Below are 14,027 nucleotides of genomic sequence, written 5' to 3'. Positions count from 1 at the left end.
ATACAAGACACCTTGGTATACTATCAAGAGACTCAATGGCATCCTTATAAATGCAAATCTATATTCTTAGTATAATATAAATCATGGAACTAAATTTATCAACAAGTAGAACTAGCTTGATTTTCAAAATTGACAGCTGAAGCTCGCTTGACAGCTATCTATTCTGCTCCATGAGTCTACGTGTCTCTTTTTGTACCAGTACCATGCTGTTTTGAATGCCATAGCGGGTAGTATAGTTTGAAGTCAGATAATGTATGCCTCCAGCTCTGTTATTTTTGCTTAGGATTACCTTGGCTATTCAGCATTTTTTTTTGGTTCCATATGAATTTTAGATTTGCTTTTATTCTAATTCTGTGAAAAATGATGTTGATATTTTGATAGGAATTGCATTGAATCTGTAGATTGCTTTGGGCAATATGGCCACACAAAAAACAGTGAGGGAAGGGCATCCTATTCAATGAATGGTGCTGGGAAAAATAACTAGCCATGTGAAAAACAATGAAACTGGACCTCTACCTCTCACCATATACAAAAATTCACTCAAAATGGATTGAAAACTTAAATATAAGACCTCAAACTATCAAAACTCTAGAAGAAAAACTAGGAAAAACTCTTCTGGACATTGGTTTAGGCAAAGAATTTATTACTAAGAGCTCAAAAGTAAATGCAATAAAAACAAAAACTGACAATTGAGACTTAATTAAACCAAAGAGTTTCTCCACAGGAAAAAATAACAATAATGTACAGGGTAAACAGACGACCTACAGAATGCGAGAAAATATTTGCAAACTATGCATCCATCAAAGAACTAATATCCAGAATCTGTAAGAAATTTGGGCAAAACAACAAGATAAAAGCAAATAACACAATCAAAAAGTAGACAAAGAATATGAACAAAGAATTCTCAAGACAGAATACACAAGCAAAAAATAAACAATATGAAAAAATGCTCAATATCACAAATCATCTGAGAAATGCGAATTGAAACCACAGTGAGATACGATCTCACACCAGTCGACTGGCTATTACTAAAAAGTCAAAAATTATCAGATGTTGGCAAGGATGTGGTGAAGAGGGAACACTTATAGACTGTTGGTGGGAATGTAAATTAGTACAACCTCTGTGGAAAACACTATGGAGATTTCTCAAAGAACTAAAAGTAGAACTATCATTTGACCCAGCAATCCCAATGTTGGGTATTCATCCAAAGGAAAAGAAAATGTTCCAGCAAAAAGACATGTACATTTGTATGTTTATCACAGCTCTACTCACAATAGCAAATTCATAGAATCAACCTAAGTACACCTCAATGTTGGACTGGATAAAGAAAATGTGCTGCGTATACATCATGGAATACTACATAGCCATAAAAAAGAATAAAATTATGTCCTTCGCGGCAATATGAATGGAGCTAGAGGCATTATCCTAAGTGAAATAACTCAGAAACAGAAAATCAAACACCACATATTCTCACTTATAAGTAGGAGGTAAATAACGTGTACACATGGACATAAAGTTGAGAACAATAGACATTGGGGACTTCAGAAGGAGGAGGGATGGAGGGACCAAGGGTTGAAAACTACCTATTGGGCACTACACTCACTATTTTGGGTAATGGAGTCAATAGAAGCCCAAACTTCAGCATTGCAAAATATATCCATGTAACACACCTGCACATGTATCTCTTGAATCTAAAATAAATAAATATAAAATGGAAAGTTATAAAATTGAGGTTGCGAACAATTAGATAAAAATTACAATTAGGAACTATAAACTACTAGGATAAATTTATCAACAAATGGTACTAGGTTGACTCAGGAAATCATACAATTACATTTTTGACAAAGAAATAACATAATTGCCATCTCTCATGAGAAGCCAAAAGCTATCACTTATTTCTGAGGCTATTTCACTGTGTTTTGGTATAATCACCATCGTTACATTTGTATAGTAGCTTAGTAGTAACTGAAATAGTAACCTTATTGGTAATATTAGGCCAGCACACATACTAGATTCAGAATTATAAAACACAATGTAACATCTGGCTCCCCAAACATGTTACACTTTGGTTCTTTATAGTGTAAAATGACAGCATCATCTGTTTCAGTTGAATGAGATTTTATATAACAATAAAAATAACAAAAATAATTTTTAAAAACAGAAATTGATTTTATTCTTAAATAGAATCCTGAGATCTCAGGCAACAGCTATTATCATAGGTCCATCAAATCATGGAGAAAAAAGGTGGCTGGGATCCAGGATAGCTACATCATATGAAACTATCATGTCTACATCGAAGCCAGAAGGAAAAAGAAAAACACAGGAAATACAGGGGCAAATGAACGTACGAGCAATCTTCTAATTTGTTTGCCAAGAAACTGCTGCATAGCACTTCTGCCTTAATCTCACTGGCAAAAACTGAGTCATCACAAAGCAAGAATGACTGAGAAACATGGCCTTATTATGGGCAGCCATTAGTCTAGTTAAAAATGAGGTGGTTTATTACTAAAAAGAAAACTGATAGAACAGATAATGGGATAGAAAATTACCACTCTTTTCTGAGCCACCGAATATCAGTATCCTACGTCAGGCCCTCATATTTCTCAATACCAATTGGGTATCTCTGATTTCAGACTCTTTCACCAATTTTTCAAATCACTAGTGAGTACACATGACCGCGCGCGCACATACACACACACGTGCGTGCGTGCATCTCCTTTGCTTCATGCATTTCTCAGATTGTCTTGGCCCCAGCTCATGAAAACCGTGTCCATTAATGTCTGTGTCTTGTAGCCTCGGAAACTTCCTCAATTTTTGAAGCAAATAAGGTAAGAGATCTTGTATTATATAATAGACTAAAAGTATGCTTAGGGAACCAGAAAAATAGAGAATACACACAAACATACACACACATAACTAGGAAAGTCAGCATTCATGTAAGATATTATTTCAAAAAAAGGATAATTTAATGTTATGTTTTTTTTGAATTAGGTATGGTGAAAGCATCATAATCCTTTCAGTGTTTAGGGATTCTAGTGTTAATCCTGGTCCCAGTTAACTATTTATTTACCATGGTCTTAAAGTCTAAGTCACTGGCTATGACGGCAAATATTGTATGTCAACTCGGCTGGGCTATGGTACCCAGATATTTGATCAAACATTATTTTGAATATTTCTGTGATGGTGGTTTTTGGATGAAATTAACATTTAAGTTAGTATACCCTGGGTAGGGCAGACTGCCCTCCATAATGTGGATAAAGGCTCATTCAATCAGCTGAAGGCCTTGATAAAAAAAGACTGATCTTTCTGGAAGAAGAAGGACTTAAGACTGTAAATCTTCACTGGGTCTCCAGCCTCCTGACCCACCCTGCAGATTTTGGACTTCCCAAGCCTCCACAATAATGAAAACTAATTTCTTAAAATGAAACAATCTCTCTCTCTCTGTCTCTGTCTCTCTCTCTCTCATGGGTGTGTGTGTGTGTGTGTGTGTGTGTGTGTGTGTGTGTGTGTATACTGTTGGTTCTGATTTTCTAGAGAACTCCTGACAAATACACTGCCACAGACTCAGAAATGAGCAGACCAGCAGACCTGGGAACTAGTTGCCCAGTTGTAATGAGTAATTTCTGATTTTTTCTCCAGATCTTCCTCACTTGATAAGTAAACCTTGGATCTGATTTCCATAGAGACCATTAGTGAATGCCCATTGTTACCAAATAACTATTCTTCACTGGTCTCACCAACCTTTTTCCCATTTCCAATTTCGTGTCATTCCTTATGATGGAATTTTGTTTGGTCTTAACTCCTTTGTTGTGATTCCGAGAATGGCCCTTGTCCTGTGCCCAACTTAGCACCTGTCAACTTTTGACCATGGTTTAATCCCCTGAATGTCAAACTTCCCAAACAATTGGAAATTCCAGTGCCAACTACTATCTAAATATTTATCTGTTTGTCAGATTTTCATATATGTGTTTCCTAGGCCTAGTTTATTTCTTGGAAACTCCTTTTGTTGCTGGCTCGATTTCCCAGGTAAGGGCTTAGCTCTTACCCTATAAGGAACTTCTGCTATTCATGAAAGAATCTGAAAGTTCGACCTTCCTAATAAATAATTTATACCTGTATAAACAAAGCAGTCCCTTCAAGAAGCTCCAAAGTTTGTTCTCCTTGTAAGAAAAAATGTTTTGGCCTCACATAAAAAGGCCTCAAAGGTAGGCCCGAAGTGAGTCAGTGGTAGAATCAGGAACAAAACTCCAAATACCTGATTCAATTTTGCATGACCTCACAAAATCAGTGACATTTCCCTAAAGAGCTTAGCAGCAGCTAATAAATCTTCTGGAAACATTAGACAGTTTTTATTAAACAACATTCTGACTAGGAATAAACATATGATAAATATGGATTGGGTTTCTTTTATTATTTATCAACTTCAAATTTAAATGGTGAGTTCCTCTCTACCTACTTTTTACCTTGACCTAAGGACAGAATGTTAGCATGACCTCAGATGTTTAATAAACCCAAAATATAAACTCATTTAAAAATAGTACATATGAAACTTCTGAAACAAAGCTGAATAATTGAGCACAGGAAGTGGCTTCCAAAGTCATTGAAGTAGAAGTTCACTCACAGTACCTGTCTAGTTAGCCTTTTTAATTCTTATTCTTTTGCCCATGCTTTTGGTTTTTTGACAAATTCCTAACCCATAACAAAGGAGGTGTCAGCATTCTTTCCAGTGGATTACTTTTATTTCCTAAATATGTCATTCTCTCTTAACTCTAGGTCTTCATAAATTTCTTCTACTTCTTGAAATATTTATCCTCACCCTGGCTAACTTCAAACTTATAGCTATCCTTTTTTCTGAAAAGCCTTTGCTGTAACTCCAGGCAGGGTGAGGTGACCAGTCTCCAGGTTCTCATAGCATGCTAAGTTTACTTATATCAGTACTTGCCACACTGAACTGTAATTGCTTATTTGCCTGCTTTCTCCATTAGCTGTGAGTTCCTTAAATGTAAGAATTGCATCTATTTTGTTAAGCAATTCTATGCCTCATTTATTTGGGGGAAGACCTAGGTAATAGCTTTCTATATATTTGTGTCTTAACCTGACTGAGTTCCTCTGTATATGATTGCATTAGTAAGCATTAACTAAATTGTAGCTAGGTAGAAGATGGATGGGCAGATGAATGGATGGATAGATGGATGGATGGAAAGATTTACATAAAGGAAATAGGTTCAGGTCTGGGCATTAAACATAGAAATGATGGAATCATGATCCAAGGCAGTGTTCAGATCCAATGACTCAGGAGGATGGGCATCTTTCAGGCACCAAATTCAATGCAAGTATGGAATGCCCAGCAAATACAAACAAGCAACAATTCCATGAGCCAGGGCTACAGTCCTTGGTGTTAGACATACTGTCATTTTCCATAAGCTTTTGCTCAGTCTTTGTCTTCTGCCTGAAATTCTAATGGAATTCTTTTAGTCTTGGAAAAACCTTTATACATGGTTCCAAGGAGACACGTTTTTCACTTCTCCTTCATTTCCCCTAATTTTCTTCAAATGAAGTACTCCTTCCTTTGCCCTCCCATAGATTCAAAAACTACCCATCTGACAAGGAATTAATAACCAGAATTTATAAGGAACTCAAACAATTCTATAGAAAAAAATCTAATAATCTCATATTTAAAATAGGCAAAAGATCTGAATAGACATTCTCCAATGAAGACATACAATGGCAAACAGGCATTTTTGCCATTTGCCAAATGGTGCTCAGTTAAAAGGTGCTCAGTATCATTAATAATCAAATAAATGCAAATAAAAACTACAAGATATCATGTCACCCCAATTAAAATACTTTATATCCGAAAGAAAGACAATAACAAATGTTGGTGAGGATGTGGGAAAAAATGGGAATCATCGTAGGCTGTCGGTGGGAATGTAAATTAGTAAAATCACTATGGAGAACAGTATGGAGGCTCCTTAAAAACAAAACATAGAGCTACAATATGATCCAGCAATCCCACTGCTAGGTATATACCCACAAGAAACAAAATCAGTATATCAAAGAAATATCTGCACTCCCATGTTTGTTGCAACACTGTTCACAATAGCCAAGATTTGAAAACAATGTAAGTGCTCATCAACAGATGAATGGATAAAGAAAATGTGGTACATATACACAATGGAGTACTAGTCAGCCGTAAAAAAAGAATGAAATCCAGTCATTTGCAACCACATGAATGGAACTGGAGATTATTATGTTAAGTGAAATAAGCCAGGCACAGAAAGACAAAACATCACATGTTCTCATATATTTGTGAAATCTAAAAATCAGAACACTTGAACTCATGGGCATAGAGAGTAGAAGGATGGCTACCAGAGGCTGGGCAGGGTAGTGGGGGTTAGTGGAGAGGTGGGGATGGTTAATGGGTACAAAAATATTAATTCATTTTTAAATAACATCTTAAAAATAGAAGTTAACATTCAAATCAGGAACAAGAGAACAGCCTCCCCAAAAGGGGAAGGAAGGAAACAAAGATGTTAATGAATAGCAAATTGTAAACACATTTGAAAAAATCAGAAAAAAATGAATATTTTTCTAAAGATGTCTAAACCACCAAAATTAACTCAGGAAGAAGTAGAAAGGTCTATAAACTAGCCACCATTTCAAAAACTGGATCAGCACTCACAATTATTTTCTTCAAAAATACATTATTGAACATTATATTAGAATTACCAGAATTCAATCCATTTCTCCCAGCACACACACACAAACACACACAAATACAGCATTAATCAGCAGCTATTTAGTTTGGGGAATTGTCTTCATCTCTAAGAATGAGTACTGTTTAATTAAAGCTTATCATGGTAATCCCATCCCCTTACCAATGATTGCATTCAGGGGGGTTGGCCTATGATGATTAGAGCCAATGAGAGGTGAAAACATTTTGCAAGACAGTTCTGGGAAAGAGACTTTCTGGCTTTTGAGACAGTTTCAGAAAGCCACCTCTCTGAGAGGTGGTTTCAAGTACTCCCATATGCCTGCTTTAACTACGAGAAAATATATATTTTATATATATATATATGTGTATATATATACACACACACACATATATATATAAAATATATAAATACAATAAATACTGGTAAGTATTAAGAAAAGAACCAGATACAAATTGTGGATTTGAAAGGTAAAATGACAGAAATGAAAAATCCACTATATATATCGTCTCAACAGCCAAATTGAGATGGCAGAAGAAAAAAATCAGTTTATTGTTATAACACTGATTGATGCGAACTATCAAATGGCACTGGATGGTAACGTGAATACACAGAAGGAAATGAAGAGTGCCACAAGTGATAAATATGTGGGTATGTATGGAAAGTAGTCTAAGATGACTTCCAGGATTCTTTTATGAGGATGCCAGAAAGGGAATATGGGGAAAGAAGCAAGTTAGGGCAGATTGGAGGGATGAGCACAGTTTGTATACGCTGAATTTGATATTTGAGGTTTATATAGAACAACCCAGCAGAGATGTTCACTAAGTGATTAGAAATGAGAGAAGCCAAAGAAGCCAGAAAAGTTCTGAATAGTGCCAGGAAATCCAAAGAGGCATACAAAAGCAGAGAAATTAAATGTTGTAAAAATCATAGACAATCTCCACAGTACATATAGTGTGAAGATACAGAAAGCATAGGGTGACTGGAAATGGTTTAGGGTCCTCAGTCTGAAAAGTCAAAGAGAAATCTATAAAGGAATGACAATTTAAATAAAAAAAAAGTTGGAGACATCTTTTTCATGAAAATCCACATATTAATCTAATATTAGCACCAGGGATATTCTGAAAGGAGGCCATTTTGTAGATAAAACAGGAAAGTGCTATTTTGCACTGGAGGTGTCGGGAGTAAAGAATTTTCACAAGCTAAAAATGTAAAAAAATGTTTTGCAAAGATTTACATCATTTCACTCATGTAAGATGTAAAATAGCTAAATAAAGAGATTCAAACTCAGCTCCTAACCTTATAAGGACAACTGGCAACTTCTTCACAGACAAAATCTTTTCATGCTGTCAGAAGAGTCAGCTGGACAATTGAGCAGAACTAACACTTCATGCCTTATACTTTCTGACTTCCTGAAGCTGAAAATTGGCAGCAGTGCTGAATAGATAGAATCTGACATTCACTATAAACTCATAGGTCAAGCATAAGTTATTAAAATAGATATACAGAGGAAATGTGATCAGATTTTACTGTTTATAATCATCTGCGCTTCGGAGTAGATTGTAAGGATTTTCTATACTTACTCATTTAATGAGTATTAAGTATTTGAGTAGTGGAGTATTTTTGCACAAAAAATGTTTATTGTATTATGTCACACTGTCTGATTTGAAACAAAAATAATTACAAGTTAGAAGATGATACACAGAATTGCAGAGTTGGAAGAGACTTTAAAGATAATTGAGTTTTTTGTTTTTTGTTTTTTGTTTTTTTTTTTTTTTTACTAAAACTGGGAAAGCCTTTGATATGGTTAGGCTTTGTGTCCCCACCCAAATCTCATATTGAATTGTAATTCCCATAATCCCCATAATCCCCACGTGTCAAAGGAGAGACCAGATGGAGGTAATAGAATCAAGGGAGTGGTTTCCACCATGCTGTTCTAGTGATACTGAGTGAGTTCTCACAAGATCGGATGGTTTCATAAGGGTCTCTTCCCCCTTCACTCAGCACTTCTCCTTCCTGATGCTTTGTGAAAACTTTGCCTTGCTTCCCCTTCACCTTCCACCATGATTGTAAGTTTCCTGAGGCCTCCCCAGCCATGCTGAACTGTCAGTCAATTAAGCCCCTTTCTTTTAAAAATTACCCAGTCTCGGGCAGTTCCTGATAGCAGTATGAAAACAGACTAATACAGCCTTCTTACCTCAGTCCCACACATAAGCATTCAGCTCAGCTGGAAATACTTCATTGACAGAGACAAAATAATGTCCTATGAGCTGAGCACTGTGCTAGGTGCTGCACACACTATGTCACATAGTTTCACAGTATGACTCTAGGAGTTAGGTTATTTTACAGATAAGGAAACTGAGAAACAGAAATTCTAAACAACTTGTCTAAATTCACAAAGTTAGTAAGTGATGGGGCCCAGATGTAATAGCAGCTTTCTACCTGACTTCAAATCCCATATTTTGTCTAATTAAAAAAGAAAAAAAAGCTCAGCATTCTGACATTTTAACTCACAACTTCATGAGATAATGCTAATTATTATTTTTTTAAGTTTCTAATTTTATCTGAAAATTAACACCTTTTATTTACAAAATATTCATCCAGATGGAAACATAACATTTCTAAAGAGCATCGTCATGTCATCTACAAGTCTTCATGTTGATCGTCCTCAGTTACTTTTACAGGTCTTCACCTAACAGTACACAGGCTTTGAGCATTTTGATGGCCTCTGCATAAACTCTAATTTGTGAATGACCAAATTCAAATAACAAAGCGGTCACTTACCAAGCTTTGGTCTTCACAAGAGCAACTCTTTTCTCATGAGCTCCATCTGCTGCATATGGACTTAGCACCATGCTTCAGGAACAAGCTCTCTAGAGAATGACAGGATAGGTGTTGAAAGAAGTCAGGGACCCTGAACGGAGGGACCAGCTGAAGCCATGGCAGAAGAACATCAATTGTGAAGATTTCACGGACATTTAACACTTCCGCAATCAATACTCTTGTGATTTCCTGTGTCTGTCTTTGCTTTAATCTCTTAATCCTGTCATCTTCATAAACTGAGGATGTATGTCGCCTCAGGACCCTGTGATGATTGCATTAACTGCACAAATTGTTTGTAGAGCACGTGTGTTTGAACAATATGAAATCTGGGCACCTTAAGAGCAGGATAACAGTGATTTTCAGGGAACAAGGGAGATAACCTTAAAGTCTGGCTGCCTGTGGGCCAAGCAGGACAGAGCCATATTTCTCTTATTACCGAAAATGGGTAAGAGAAATATCGCTGAATTCTTTCCCCAATAAGGAATATTAATAATTAACAGCCCTGGGAAAAGAATGCATTATCAGGGCAGGGCCTCTAAAATGGCCACCCTGGGAATGTCTGCCTTATGCAGATGTAGATAGGAATGAAACAGGCCCTAGTCTCCTGCAGCACCCCCAGGCTTGCCAGGATTAGGAAATTCCAGCCTGGCGAATTCTAGTCAGACTGGTTCTCTGCTCTTGAACCCCGACAACGCGTGCACAGAGGGACATGGAAGTTCAATAGTGATTCTAGTTTCGCCCTGACCTTCTGCCTTGTGATTTTTTTGTCACCCTTGAAGCATGTGATCTCTGTGATCCACACCCTATTCGTACACTCCCTCACCTCTGAAAATTGCTAATAAAAACTTGCTGGCTTTACAGCTCAGGGGGCATCACAGAACCTGCCGACATGTGATGTCTCCCCCCGGACACCCAGCTTTAAAATTTCTCTCTTTTGTACTCTGTCCCTTTATTTCTCAGACCGGCTGACACTTGGGGAAATAGAAAAGAACCCACATTGAATTATCAGGGGTGGGTTCCTCCGATATCGGTAGGGTCTTAGAAGCCTCACTTAAAGTTGCACATGAATACATTTCAAAAGGGCGATGGTTATGGGAATTTAACTTTACTCTGTAATATAGTGTTACATCCTTTTGCTTAGAGCAAAAACACTGTACACATATCCTGTACTGTAGAGATTAGGTCAATGAGAGATTTTAGAAGCAGCTTCACAGGTTTCAGAAGTCCATCCAACTGTCACATTCTTAATACAAATAAGTTCAGCATTCAAAGCACAGACCAGAACCTCTTTATCTTCCCTGTCACTACACTACTACTGTCTAATAGGATATTATGACACATCCTGAGAGAACTTGAACTATACAAAATACAAATTGCACTTTTCTTTGCTAATTTGTCACTGGAGGGGCATGTTGAAGAGAGAATAAAGACACACGACCATGCATATTTGAACCTAAATATTGAGAAATACTAGTGATCCACAACTTATGCAAATTTAACAAAATTAGAACATGAAAAACAATGTATTAAGTTAATATTATAGGATTTATTTTTATTGTAGTGTTCCTTCAAGAATTAATAAGCAAGCTAAGGTTGGTTTTCCTGAAGGATGAAGCACAAAAAAAATTAACTCGATGTCATACCTAGAAATACAAATTTGGCCCAAAGGCATAACAGTTTCCTTTACTGTCAAGTGTTACTAATCTCGAATGTCCAACATTTCAGTGGATTTTCTATGGGCTTTTTGTGAACTGGTGCAAATTCTACAAGACACAAGACTGGTCTTTCAATAATATATTCAAATGTACTCTTTTAAAATAATAAATATTCTCTCTTTCTCATCTCTCTCTGTCTCTCTGTCTCTTCTTATCTGTATCTGTATATGTGTAGATACACATACACACATACACTATATACATACATACACACGTATACACAATCCTACACAATTCTTGGATGTTCAAAAGTCACTTTCATACCCAGTCTCCCATTTATCATTGCAAAGTGCTTGCAAAATACTTAGAAACACTTAAAATAGCTTTAATCTATGCTAACTTAGAAAAGTACTCAGCAGCCTCTGTCATTCCAGAAGAGGCTGGAGGCTTATTCGTTACTTTACATAGATTTTACAATGTCCAGAACAGAATATTTTTGTGGAAATATACAAGCTGATTCTTAAATTCATATGAAAATGTGAAGGGTCTAGAGCAGCCTAAATAAAATTTTAAAGGGAGGGCAAATTGAAGGGCTACTCTGCCTGATTTCAAGCATTATCATGGGCACCAAGATGGTGTATTAGTGATGTAAGGATAAATAAGTAGTTTAAATGAACGGAATAGAAAGTTTAAAAATAATCCTACACATATGTGTTCAATAGATAAATTCAACTAAAGTACCAATGGAAAATGCTGGGCTTTTCAATAACTGTTGCTGGAACAACTTCATTTGTAATTAAGAAAATGCAATTAAATGCCACCATGGGCTACCAGTACACCCTCACTAAAATTAAAACACTAACAGAACTAGATATTGATGAAGACGTACAGTGATGAGAATTCTCATACACTGTTGGGGTAGCATAAAATGGTATAACCAATTTTAAAAGATCTATCATTTTCTTAAAAGAACTATCGTAAGGACAAAAAACCAAACACCACATGTTCTCACTCATAGGTGGGAATTGAACAATGAGAACACATGGACACAGGAAGGGGAACATCACACACCGGGGCCTGTTGTGGGGTGGGGGGAGGGGGGAGGGATAGCATTAAGAGATATACCTAATGTTAAATGACGAGTTAATGGGTGCAGCACACCAACATGGCACATGTATACATATGTAACTAACCTGCACGTTGTGCACATGTACCCTAAAACTTAAAGTATAATACAAAAAAGAAAAAAAAAGATAACAAAAAAAAAAGATTACACATGCTTCCCCATGAACCAGCAATTTCACTCCTAAGTATTTATCCAAGAGACAAGAAATTTAAGTCTATACGGAGCATTGTACATAAATGTTAATGTCAGCTTTCTTTGTAATATTTGACCACTGGAAACGACCAAAGTAGTACCAACAGATGAGTAGAAAAAAAACCTGTTAAATATTCAAACAACACAAATAATGGAATACAGTAGTAGAAATAAATAAACTATTGATACACAATAACGTGAATGAATCTCAAAACTTTACACTGAGGGAAAAAAGCTAGTCACGGAGTATGACATATTGCATGACTGCATTTGTATGAAATCCTAAAAAAACCCAAATTATTCCATTGTGACAGAAAGCAAAGGCTCAAGAGGGAACTTTTTTTAGGCTGATGGAAATGTTCTATGTCACGATTGTGATGGTGGTTACACATTTGTATTGACAAATTTTATCGTAATGCACACTCAAAATGTTTGTACTGCATTTTATTCCAATTACACCCCCAATAAAATTAATAAAGAAAAAACACATTCGTGCAATACTGTTCTAAGATTTGAAAGTCCTTCGTTTATGGGCAATTTAAGATAAAAATAATAGCACCTTCTATTGCCTATGATTGAGGTACTAATATTGATTTAAAAGAAAAGCCTTGTAAATGCCACAACTAAAGCTCTCCTTTAGCATATTATTTTCTAATTTGACATTTTCTAAATGTTTCTGATTCATATATACACACACACACATATATATATACACACACATATATGTACATATATATATATCTCCTATGTTTGCAAAAACTTTTCAAGGAAATATAGATATATAGATAAATTGTGGGGGGAAATTAATGTAGAATTTGAGATGTATGCCAATCCTAGTATGGAGGATAATGAGAAGTGCTGTAAGCTAACGGTATTTACATAATTCTATTTCTAGCTCTCTTAAAGCAGAAATCTCTGTTCCCCATCAAAGGAGTAAGCAATGGTACTGATTTACTGCTGCCAACTGACATGAACAAGAAGTGAGCCTCAGGGGATCCAATTGAGACAGGTGAATGAAGAGTTTCTGGAGGTTTGATTAGAGTGATTAGGCTCTCCTAATTTTACTTAATTTCCTTATAAATAAAGTAGGAAAATTAGAATTCCCACCAAGGCTGTTGTGAAGGTCTGTGAAAAAACAGACTTCAGGGAATCTGTCTAATATTGTCCTTGTCTAATACTGTCTGCTGTGTGGTGGAGTCACTCAGCAAAGCATATGTCACTCCCATAGATTAGAAACCTGGGAAAGGCTTCTCTTATGGTGGAAAAATATATTTATTCTAACAGCTGCCAGCAAAATTCTTCTTAGGATAGTACATGTACTCATTGGGGGAAAAAAATTCATGCTACTTAATGGCAGGAGCCCAGATATCCAAAGACCTGGGTACAAATATAATGTAAGGATGGTGTTGTGAGACAGGCAGTAGGACCCAGCTCCACCACCAGGAAATGCTCCATGTGACTGTAACCTCACATCCTCAGGCAAATAAACAAGCAAACAAAAACATGCTGGGTGTTGGT

General features: G+C 36.3%; 1 long non-coding RNA gene across 1 annotated transcript in view; it reads right to left on the bottom strand.

Moving 5' to 3' along the window:
• The window catches only part of LOC101928832 (uncharacterized), a 100,762-nt gene that overhangs the window by 29,336 nt on the left and 57,399 nt on the right, over positions 1 to 14,027 (bottom strand). Inside the window, exon 2 of the long non-coding RNA XR_001755969.2 lies at positions 9,498 to 9,586. This is a non-coding gene — a long non-coding RNA (uncharacterized LOC101928832). The remainder of the gene's footprint in view (positions 1 to 9,497; positions 9,587 to 14,027) is intronic.

The sequence above is a fragment of the Homo sapiens genome, chromosome X, assembly GCF_000001405.40.
Source record: "Homo sapiens chromosome X, GRCh38.p14 Primary Assembly".
Taxonomy (NCBI): Eukaryota; Metazoa; Chordata; class Mammalia; order Primates; family Hominidae; genus Homo; species Homo sapiens.
The sequence above is the reverse complement of the archived record's forward strand: the minus strand, read 5'-3'. Positions and strand labels throughout refer to the sequence as shown.